General features: G+C 39.3%; 1 long non-coding RNA gene across 24 annotated transcripts in view; it reads left to right on the top strand.

Moving 5' to 3' along the window:
• LINC01837 (long intergenic non-protein coding RNA 1837) overlaps window positions 1-12,414 on the top strand; it is a 234,720-nt gene that overhangs the window by 155,953 nt on the left and 66,353 nt on the right. For 22 of the 24 annotated variants that reach the window (XR_007067222.1, XR_007067219.1, XR_007067217.1 and 19 more), the window contains one exon: window positions 5,534-5,973. This is a non-coding gene — a long non-coding RNA (long intergenic non-protein coding RNA 1837). Of the gene's footprint in view, window positions 1-5,533; window positions 5,974-7,642; window positions 7,815-7,852; window positions 7,911-12,414 lie in introns of those variants that run through there. The other 2 variants (XR_001753920.2, XR_001753918.2) reach the window with 2 other exon arrangements.

The following is a 12,414-nucleotide window of genomic DNA, read 5'->3' as shown; positions in this document are numbered from 1 at the left end:
CCTTGCATTCTTCGGATTTAAATATAACATTTAAGAGGGATAGGCAGTTTTTTTTTTAAGAGGCCTGTCCTCAGAAGAACATGTAATTCTTATGACACTACTATGTATTGTTTTAAGATAAAAATTGATGACACGAAAAGAAAAAATTTTTAAAAAATTGATGGCATGTGCTTAATATATGTGATAGAAATTGCAAAATTGATTTTGAAACTCTAAGTAAATAATGACTGATGAATTGTGATGATTCTTATTAAAAAGACTTATTTGCTTGACTCCACATTAGAGTCAATGTGCGTTAATGAACAAACAGAATTTTCGAGAAGCTGCTGGAGTTTGAGTGTCTTTGGCTACAGTAATTGAGTGAAACCTATGCTGAGCTAAATCTTGTGGGCTTAGTACATAAGTATTAATATTAAACACTCAGTATGTGTTTGCTACAGGTGAGACCCGCAGATTTGACTAATTTTTTAAGAAATACATAGCAAATTGTTCTTAATATTAAAATGTAAATGACAAATCATGAAAAAGACTTTTCAAAATAAACAATAAAGCATTAATATCACAAATAAAGTTTTTTTTAATCAATAAGTAAAAAGACAACATGACTGGGTGCAGTGGCTCATGCCTGAGATCCCAGCACTTTGGGAGGTGGGAGGACCGCTTGAGCTCAGGAGTTCAAGGCAAGCTGGTTAACATAGTAAGACCTTATCTCCACTAAAATTTAAAACAATTAGCCTGGTGTGGTGGTGTGTGCCTGTAGTCTCCTGTACTCAGGAGGCTGAGGCAGGAGGATTGCTTGAGTCTGGGAGGTTGAGGCTGCAGTGAGCCCTGATGGTGCCACTGCACTCCAGCCTGGGCAATACAGCAAGACCTTGCCTCCAAAAAAAACCCCCAAAAAATTGACAACGCAATTTCAAAAATGGAGGAAGGGCATGAACAAGTTGCATTGAATCATCGTTAGTCCTCCGTTTCCTTTATTTTGTGTTTAAAAGCACAGGTTTAGTGATATTGACCAGTGGTCTGTTTATATTCTGTGTATATTTTTGCAGATTTAGTTATTTTTTCTTATTGATTGAAATGAAATATCTTTGTCATAGGTTGTAAAATTTCATAATTTGTTGTTTTTAAAACTTGGTTCATGGTGTCATTTGCCATAGAAATCATTATTTATGTGATCATTATTTTATGATCTACTAATTTTGTCTATGTATTTCTACACTGAATTTATGAACAACATACATTCATAAGTTTATCTAGAAAAACAAATAATTAAAATAGAAAATGTTGGTGATATAATTTTGATGGTTTAAAACTTCTCTTTCTAACTTTTTTTGTGACTGTGGATCACAATCATAGTAAACAATGGAAAATACTGACAAAGAGGCACGAAGAAGCAAAACTCATAGGATGCTGTCAAAGCTGAACATAGGAAAATTCATAGTCTACTTCCATTATTCAATCTAAAAGTGTAAATGTAAAGGAATTAGGTGATAAACGCAATTATGTAAATAAATACCAGGAAGGAAATTGCAAATAAAGAGTACAAAAGAAAGGGAAAGGAATTAAAAAGTTAAAAGCTTTAATGTGTAAGCCTTAATATGTATTAAACATTTAATACACAATATTTAACGCATTTCAAATTTAAGACCTTTCACATGTATGATATATATGTACATAAACATATATATATATATAATACTATATGTTATGTATGTAAAAGCTTTTGTATATATGTATATATTGAGGAAGATAAGGACAGACCACAAGTCAACACTGCTACGTTATGAATCCTTTGTCCTTAAATTAACTGGCTGGGCGCGGTTGCTCACATCTGTAATCCCAGCACTTTGGGAGGCCGAGGTGGGCAGATCACCTGAGGTCAGGAGTTCGAGACCAGACTGGCCAACATGGCAAAACCCCATCTCTACTAAAAATACAAAAATTAGCCTGACATGGTGGTGCATGCCTTTATACCCAGCTTGGGAGGCTGAAGCAGAATTGCTTGAACCTGGGAGGAGGAGTTTGCAGTGAGTGGAGATCGTGCCACTGCACTTCAGCCTGGATGACAGAGTGAGACTCTTTCTAAAAAAAAAAAAAATTAAATTAACCACAATGAAATAAATTATTTTCAAAACAAAAATAAATAGGATCAACAAATAAATCTAAGTTCTGTGTCTTTAAAATATAAGTAAATTTCTAATATATTTATCCAGGAAATGAGGATAAAATTCCCCTCAAACATAAAATTATAAGAAAAATGAGAGTAAATAATCAAATCCCATTTTAATATTATTTTTACAATAAATATTAGAAAATTTTAAGGAAACTCAAGACTATGAAACTCTCGAACAAATAAGTAACTAAGAGAGAACTGTTCAAAGTTATCAAAAGTTTACTTTCCACAACAACAAAAGAAACCACAGATGCTTTTATGGGAAATGTATTTTTTTATACAAATAGTTTCGGAGCATAGATACCCCTAAAAATAAGGTAGGAGGTGAGACTCAGCTCCATAGGTGGGGCTTGGACACTGGACCAAATTGAGGACTAGCTAAAACAGAGGAAATGTGGAAGCATCTTTCCATAAGACACTCCCACTAGTGCACCATGTCAGTTTACCATTGCCATGGCAACACCAGGAATTACTACCTCTTTCCGTGGCAATGATCCAATTACCCAAAAGCTACTACCCTTTTCCTAGAAATTTCCTCATTAACTGCCCCTTACTCTATCTGTAATTAAGAGTAGATAGAAATCTGACTGCGGAACTGTCCTGAGCTGCTGCTCTCAGCATACTGCCTGTGGGGAAGCCCTGCTCTGCAGGGGCAGTCACGGAGCTCTAACACCGCTGCTTCAGTAAAGTTGCTTTCTTCTACCCTAGCACCGGCTTGCCCTTGAATTCTTTTCTGGGCAAAGCCAAGAACCCTCGCAGGCTAAGTCTCACTTTGGGGCTCACCTGACCTGCATCAAAAACACTAGTTAATTCATTTTATGAAGTGGTGACTCTAATATTAAAGCTGGACGAAGATAGTTCAAAAAAGGAAACTGTGAAAATACTATGTGAAAATGTGAATACTATGTGAAATTGTGAAAATGCTAAATAATACGTGAAAACTATCTGACAGTGGAATAAAAGAACAATATCTTCTGGTTCAGTTTTTTTCCATTAAGTAATTCAAGAATAATTTAATATTAGGAAATGTACCAATATGTTTAAATATATTGGTATATTTGATAATATACTAATTATAATATAAAACTAATTGTAATCATAATATAATAATACTAATTATAATACTAATTATAATACTAATTATAATATAATAATGCTAATTATAAGTATAATAATATATTTAAATATATTAGTATGTCAAGAGAGAAGATTTAAACACATCTCCTACTGAAATGGCTTATAATAAAATTCAACACTCATTCCCAAGAAACAAAATCTAAAACAATATTAGTATGATAGAAATTGAACCTTCTTTATCAAGAAAGAGGCTCTCACCCCCAAGTCAACAGCTTAATTATATTTTAGAATGGAAAACTAGAGGCGTTTCTATTTACATATGACAGAATTCTTACTATCCATGCCATATTTAACACAGTTTAAAAATTCTGACCAATTGAATAAACCAAGACTACAAAATAGAGGATTTACTGTTTGAAAGTAGTTGATTATACGGTTACTGACACTTGGATGAAGGAGAATTGTCTACCTGGAGAACTCAAGGGAACAAACTGAAAAATTACTACACTATCAAGCAAGTTTAAAGATAAAGTTTTGTCAACATAATCACATAAGTAAAAAGTTAGTTTTTCTTTACACCAATGGTATGATGATTTTTAAAGTGCCATTTACATTAGCAACAAAACAATAAAATATCTAGGGAAAAGTTTACAAGAAATATGTAGAAATGTGATGAAATTAAAATAAGGAATATGAATTTAAAATATGCCATGTTATTGAATTAAAATTAAAATAACATAAAGTTACCGATTCGCTCTACATGATCTAGACGTTTAATGGGATCCAAATGAAAATATCAGTGGGACTTTGGAGGGGTGGTGCTTTATAAAATGATTCTGACATTCATCTGGCACTTTAGAATTGCTGAGAATGTTTTGAAAAAGTAGAAGGGTGAGGAGGAACTTGCACTACTGGGTAAGCAATGTGCAGTGACGTCCTTGTAGCTTCGTATATATTTAAATAGTCTGGTTTAATTGCAGGAATAGACAGATAAATCAATGGAACAGTACGAGGAGAGCTGAAGCAGGCCCATGTAAATATGAATTTCATATAAGATAAATGTGGCATTTCAAATCAGTGGGGAAAAGATGAGGAATTCAGTAAGTCAAATTAGGTCAATTTGCTGACCGTGTGGAAAAAAAATAGATCTTTACAGCACCACGTACACTAACAAATTTCAGATTGATAAAATATTTAATATAAAATTTGAAGCCATAGAAAGATTTTAAGGAAAACACATGAATATTTATCTGATGTTGTGGTATGCAAGTACTCAGAGTGTATGTAAAGGCGTAATCTGTAAAATAAGAGACCAACACATTTGACTACTCCAAAATGACAAAATTCTTTATGTCAACATGATCATAAACAAAACTAAATGTTAAACCACAACCTGGGGGAAAGCATTTTTGCAACACAAGTGTATAGCATCCTTATTAAATCAGACTGCTTTCAAACCAATAATTAAATGACAAACACACTAAAAAATAGGCCAAGAAAATTGCAGGAAATTTTATAACAAAGAATCACAGTGGCCAATGAATGTAAGGGAAAAAAGTTCACCCTCACTAGAAAGTAAAAAGCTAACATGAAAAGGAACAATATATTTAATGTATTTTGCTCAGTACCAGGAGCATAGAGAGTTCTAGGTAAGCATTAACTCTTTGTAACAGGATAGTGATCAGGATTACTATACAGTTGCTGTTGCTATGTTAGTTGCATATGCAGTTGTGTTGTAGGGGTTATTCTGTTGGTGGAGGAATAAATTGATACATTTCTAAAGTGTGATTGATTTTACAATGCACAGCCAAAGTATTAAAAAAGCAAATTTCTTTTGGTAGGTTATTTTTCCATCATATATTTATTCTAATGAAGTCTAATGAACTCTTCTCTAAGGATTTATTTCCAGGATGTTCATTACTGTATTGATTATAATAGCACGACATTGAGTGCAATAGAAGATTGGTTGAAGTACAGGACAGTCACAAGGCAGAAAACTACGTAGCGATTAACAATAATGTTGTAGGAAACAATTTACTGACATGAACTTAGTCCCTGAATATCAGGATTAAACATGTGTATATATGCATGGAAGAAATATATGTAAGAATTTAAAAGCTATCAGCATTTACCTCTGAATGGGGGGATCATGAGTGATTATTATTTTCTTCTGGGTATGTTTGTGTTTGTGCATTTCTTAGCATTTGCTATAATGAGCTGGTAGTAATTTTGTAAACGGAAAGATAAAAACCCCACTGTTAAATCTGACTTTTCTGTTTTCAGGGTAAGACTCCTGGGAATTTGGAAGCTGAGACTTGAGGCAAGTATTTAGGATTTGCTGTCTCACCTCCCTGCTATGACAGTCCTTAATTAATGGAGATGATGGAGAACAGCTTGCTGGGCTGAGTGGCAGGAGCCATGCAGCTGCTGGGGCTGGAGTGGGTCAGGAAGCTTCATCAATCTGGGACACATGACGTGCTTGGTGGTGGCGGAGCCTGACGCATCCCTCTTCATCGACATTGTGTCAATAGGAGCAGAGGCATTTAGCTGTGTAAACACAGAGCTTCAGTGGCAGCACCCTAAATGCTTAGCTGATAGATCCGGAATTAAATACAGACCTAGAAACTGGAGTTGGAAAACTTCCTGGCAGCACTCCTTCCCTGCCATCCCGGTGATCCCCTTCTGGATGGAGGGTGTGGAGCTCAGCACATTCACGTCTGCAGGTAGGTGTTGCTATCTTAGAGGGCAAGGAAGGTGCACACGGAGATATTTGAAGGAAATGGATTATCTTCAAAGGCTGTTCAGGGTGGGGTTGAGGCTCCCAAGACAGGGGCCTGTGGGGTTGACCTGATGCATGTTGGATAATAGGGTGAGTAAAACCCTGAAATGTGCCACCTGGGCACCTGTCCATTCTGTTTCCACCTCCTTTAGTTCAGGCCAACAAACAGAAGGTAGTGATTATGTTCCAGGCCTTGTGCTAAGATGCGACACACCTAGCCTGTTATTGCTACTTTGCCCCATTTTTTCCCCTCCAAAGAAAACCAGACTGCTCTTTATAAATTGCAGACCCGATCATGCCATTTCCTGGCTTAAAGCCATCAATGTGACTTCCTATGGCCTTTAACAGTCCTGCAAAGGCCCCCACAGTTCACCCAGGCTTGTCTCTCCTGCAGCTCTCTGGGTCTTCCTCCATCATCACCCCCTCTCCACAATTAATTTTCATGAACTTCTTTAACACCTATTCAGGCTTCCTGCAGGAAGACTTCCTTGGTTTCTTAAGACTTGATTAGGTCTCATTGCCACATGTAATGCACCTTAACATGGTCTATTATAATCCCAAAGTTTTACTTTGTAATTTCTTATTTAGTTGGACTCTTGGTCCCAGGATGGCGTGTCTATCTTGTATGGTTCATGCTCTATTTATTGAACAAATGATTCATTAATCATGAATCGTTCTTTAATGATTGAACATAAAATGAGAAGGACACAGCCTCTCTTTGGAAGAAGCTTAGAGGGGAGACAGATATGTGGTTATGGATTCAAGGGATGGTCTTAGATAGATGTGCACTGAAGACTCAGCCATAGGAGAGGAGAGGTGACTGATTAATTCTGTCTGAGGACAGATGATTCCGGGTGGTTTTCAGAGAGGAGGAACCAGCCAACAAGTCCTCGGAGGAGTGACTAGAGGGTGTTCTGTTAGCATGGGCCTCCCGTGGAAGGCTGGGGAGTTCAAACACATTGCCAGCAGCATTGAGCTCTGGAATGTGTTTCTGCCATTCCAGACAGTGCTGGCAAGGGTGGAGCGCCCACTGTGTGTCTGGCCCTGGGCACCAGTAAAGCCTGGGCACCAGAAAGATGCACTCCAGCTCTTCCTTCTCTTGCACCTGCCCACTGGGTGCGCTGGGGACCTATTTCATGGCATCCTGACAGTCAGGCTCGAGGATGCAGCTGAACTTGGGCACTGGTTGAGGGAGGGGTGGGCTGGCCTTGCCCACCAGCAGTGCCATATGCCCATGCCTTAGTCTACTCCAGTCATGTCCCCCGGCTGCCCAGCTGTCACGGCCATAATTACAGCAGCCACAGCTGCAGGAAGTGTGTGGTTGTGGGGACCCTCTGGTCTCCTTAGAACTTTACTACTGTTGTTATAGCTTATCAGGACACGGCCCACCTTCTGTTGGTCTCTTGAAAATGGCTGTAATTCTCATCTATCATGGGGGTGAGCCAGCTGCTGCAGGGGCAGCTGTCAGTGAGAGAGTTCTGCATGCGTCCCGACAAGATGGCCCTGACCTTGGGGATGTGGAGGCTCCAAGCCAAGTGCCTTTCTTGGGACAGCATTTAGGCCATCTCTTTTGTCCCGACCTGGGGGTGAGTGCTTTCTGCTTTTCTCTGTAGCCCTGAACTGCTTGTCTTTTGCCTTGTTATCTTTCCTGGACTGTGAACTTCCCAAGTGAAGAGCATTGTATTTGCTACAGACAACCTTCTGTTATTAAAAGCTTTATCATAGATTGTGAAATACCGTTCTTTCCCACATTACAAAAGGAACATACAATGATAATGGCAACAAAAATAGATAATAATTATTGACTGCTTACTCTGTTCCAGGCGTTATACTTATAACTTTACAGGGATTATCTAATTCATTACTGAAACAACATTGTGATTTCCATTTCGCAAGTGGGGAACCCTGTCCAGAGAACTTATGTAAGTTGCCCAGGGTCACACAGCTGAGAGGTGGGAGGCCTAGGCTTCAAAACTAGAGAAGTCTCCTTTCAGGGTCCACACATGTGCCTCACTTTAAGAAATTTGGAAAACAGAGAAGTAGAAAAAAAACAATAATTTTATGTTTCAAACACAACTCATTATGATCTTGATATATTTCTGCTCATTATGTTTCTATTCATTATTTTTCCATAATTGTGATTATATTGTGTAATCAATTTTGTCTTATGATTTTAAAATTAGTATTATCACATAAACATTTTCCATCTCGTGGGTTTACTATCCCTTATTAGTCCTTTTTGTGGCTTACTGGGTTGCATCCAAGTTTTCTCTTGTTGGACTAAGAAAGTAACATTGAGATGTGTTAGTGTGTGTGTGTGTGTGTGTGTGTGTGTGTGTGTGATACTAGTCACACAGCTAGCCTCATTAAGGTTTGTACATACAGCATCTAATTTATTCTTACAGTAACACTATGAGGTAAAGAAATATCTCCCCCATCTTACAGATAAAGAAACTAAGGTTTAGACAGTTAAACAAATCACCCAAGGCTACGAATCACCTACATAGGTGGTAAGGGGCAATTCCAGAATTCAAATGGATAGCAGTTTGACAAAGGCCATGCTTTTTTGTTTGTTTGCGTGTTTGTTTGTTTTTGAGATGGAGCCTTGCTCGGTCGCCCAGGCTGGAGTGCAATGGCGCGATCTCAGCTCACTGCAACCTCCGCCTCACGGGTTCAAGCGATTCTCCTACCTCAGCCTCCCGAGTAGCTGGGATCACAGGCACCTGCCATCATGCCTGGCTAATTTTTGTATTTTTGGTAGAGACAGGGTTTTGCCACATTGGCCAGGCTGGTCTTGAACTCCCGACCTCAGGTGATCTGCCCACCTCGGCCTCCCAAAGTCCTGGGATTACAGGCATGAGCCACCGTGCCCAGCCTTAAAGGCCATGCTTTTGGTCATTAGTCTATCCCTTCACCATAAAGCTTTTTCCATATTTTGTTTGCATTTTTACATTTTTGGATTGATCCCCATAAGTGGAATTTTTGGGTCAAAGGGGGTAACCATTTTTAACATGAGTTAGAGGAATGTGCATTCCATTCCTGTTGTATTTTCCCCTTGCCAGCATTGACCCCTGCCATTGAATCCGTTGGTAGGGTTATTAACGACCCCCATTTTTAGTGGCTTGTGACATCCCAAGTTCACCCTCCACTCAAACTCCATGTCCATCCTGCATCAGCTGGGCTTTGCTCCAGGCGTCCATCACCTTGGGACCCCTGCTTGAGCAGCCACCATCTGGAATGTTGCTTGGTCACTGTTGCAGGAGGAAAGAAAGCTCTGGGGCATCTCCAACTGGCAACTAAGCCATCTAGCCCAGAAGTGACAAATGTCACTTCCGCTCAGACTTCATTGTCTAAAACGAATCACGTGGCCCCATCCACCCAGACAGAGCCAGGAGGCGGAGTCCTTTGTGAGTCCTTAAGGGAGAGCTGGAAATAGCTGGTGAAGGCCCTAATAACTAACACAGTCATAAAAGTTGCTCATTTGATCGTTGAAAATAGTAACACGTTGCTTTATTTGACAAGAGTTTTTTTTTGGTGAGCCTTAGTATTTCTTCATATTTTCTTGGCAAGTTGTAGCTCTCCTTTTGTAACTTGTTTGTCCTGTTCTTAACCCATTTTTCGGTAATATCTTAATGCTTTACAAATGCTTTCCGGATGTGGTCATGTCCCTAAATAGGTCTTTGATGAGTGAAAACACATGGTGTTTCAGAAGCCAATTTCCCTTAGATAGTTTTTAAACATAAAGATGTAAATAACTTTATGCATTTACTTTCATTTTCCAAAGAAGTGACCCAGAGTTTATGTTTACTCCAGGTTTAATTTATGTTAACTTCCGCTTTTCAGTTAATCAGTGAAAACTGAGGGAAGTTCCTGAGCTTCAAGGGCTTTCTGCATCTGGGTTTCAAAATTCTGGACTCCTTCCTATCTCCTTGGCCCCACACTTCCCTTCTAGGGAACCAGCCCTGAGTGTCCCTATAGAGTTCACTTCTCCTTCTCATCCCCACTCCTCTGTCCCCAGGTCAGGAAAAGACACCTGGGTGCAATCGAAATAACTTCCTAACTGGTATTTTTTACATGGGCTACCAGAAAAGAGAACATGCTAATTACATCATTCTTTCCCTCCAAACCCTTCCCAGTGGCTCCCCTTGCCCTGTGGGGCCCATTTACCATGGATGAACACAATAGGATTTTCAGTGGGATACAAAGGAACACTTTATAGTTATAAGTTAATTTTTGGCCAGGCGCGATGGCTCACGCCTGTAATCCCAGCACTTTGGGAGGCTGAGGCGGGTGGATCACTTGAGGTCAGGAGTTCGAGACCAGCCTGGCCAATATGGTGAAACCCTGTCTGTACTAAAAATACAAAAATTAGCTGGGCGTGGTGGCGGATGCCTGTAATCCCAGCTACTCAGGAGGCTGAGACAGGAGAATTGCTTGAACCTGGCAGGTGGAGGTTGCAGTGAGTCGAGGTAACACTGCACTCCAGCCTGAGTGACAGAGCGAGGTCTCATCTCAAAAAAATTTTTTTTAAATTAATTTTCATGTGTATTAGAAAAGTGTTCACCTAGCACATTAAACATGTACATTGACAGATATTACTGCTGTGATATGGCAATGAGCACAAGTGTGTTCATGTAAAAATTGAAAGGGAGCTATTAAGTTGATAACATGATAGGAAATGCATGGGTTTGGCAAAGATAATGGGATAGTGTCTAAATGACAGAAGTTTGGGAAAGACAAATTAACATCCAAACTTCATAGCATCCTTAAACCTGCCAAACCCAGCTTTTGAGTCCTATCCCCACATCCCACAGCCTGTTATGTATGTAACATGATCAGTATGTAAATACTGATCATGCTGCAGGGCCCCTTTAACATAACATCTTCCCCCTTTGTTCTGGGCAAAGTTAGAGCTCTTCTGTTTGTTCTCTTTGGGTCCTGTTTCACTTTAAAACATTTTTTAATTTGATTTAATTTTAAGTTCCGGGATACATGTGCAGGAAGTGCAGGTTTGTTACATAGGTAAATGTGTACCATGGTGGTTTGCTACACCTATCAACTTATCACCTACGTATTAAGCCCAGCATGCATTAGCTATTTATCCTGATGCTCTCCCTCCTCCTGCCCCACCCCTTCCCTGACAGGCCCCAGTGTGTGTTGTTTCCCTCCCTGTGTCTATGTGTTCTCATTGTTCAGCTCCCGCTTATAGATGAGAACATGCAGTGTTTGGTTTTCTGTTTCCAGCAATCCCATTACTGAGTATATACTCAAAGGAATATAAATCATTCAATTTTAAAGATACATGCACATGTAAGTTCATCACAGCACTATTCACAATAGCAAAGACATGGAATCAACCCAAATGTCCATCAGTGATAGACTGGATAAAGAAAATGTGGTACATATACACCATGGAATACTATGCAGCCATAAAAAGGAAACGAGATCATGTTCTTTGCAGGGACATGGATGGAGCTGGAAGCCATTATCCTGGCTCACTTTTTATAGTACATTTTCCTTAATTGTTCAATGTCTTACTTTCTCTTCTAGATAGGCATTTATTTGGAAGCACAACCTGGGTTTTCTTTCAGTAGCCAGTGTTAACCTACAGAAAGTGCTTCACTACTTAGAAAGTACCTTTGTATTTATGATCTAATTGGCTCCTTACAAGGACCCCTTGAGGCAAGCATCTCCATTTTACAGAAGAATTAACCAAGGCTTGGACATTGTCAGATGCAATTCAGAGAGTCTTGGCAGGGATTCAGATTCAGGAATGTGACCCAACAACCCCCTCTTTTCCTGCTGGATCACAGGGCTGCATCACTCCTGTTTTCCCACAGTCCCTGATGTGGGGTCTGTGCATACTACATGCTCAACAAAGGCTCCAGGGGTGAAAGAAGGATGAGCACATTCTTATGTCTAGGGCTTTTGTTCGCTTACACATGACAGCACTTTCACAAACTAATTGTTTGAGATATTTCACATACTGAGGATTGGGAAGTCCTGGGCTTTTACATAAAGGCTGAAAATCCGTGCATTTTTCTGGGATCCTCTCCAGGGAAGCTGGTGTTACAACTCAACAGTGATGTTCTTTCCTTCTTTCTAAGTACATTTTGGGGAGTGGCTCTTTGAAGGAAAAACAGCATCCTTGTCAAAGTAAGCATGGTTTGATTTGAAATGTAGGTGGGAGGAGAATAATGCTTTAAAAACAGTATTCTGAAATAAGGTTTGAAAGCCTTTTGGATGAGTTCAGCTATGTCCTTAGAGATACCCAGGAGCACTTTTATATTTACGTAGAAGATGGAACGTTGAAGAATTAACTATATTTTTTGGTGAATATGATTACCACTGTTGTCTTCCAGACCAACAGAGGCATGCCAAATGC

Source organism: Homo sapiens, chromosome 19 (genome assembly GCF_000001405.40).
Source record: "Homo sapiens chromosome 19, GRCh38.p14 Primary Assembly".
NCBI lineage: Eukaryota > Metazoa > Chordata > Mammalia > Primates > Hominidae > Homo > Homo sapiens.
The sequence above is the reverse complement of the archived record's forward strand: the minus strand, read 5'-3'. Positions and strand labels throughout refer to the sequence as shown.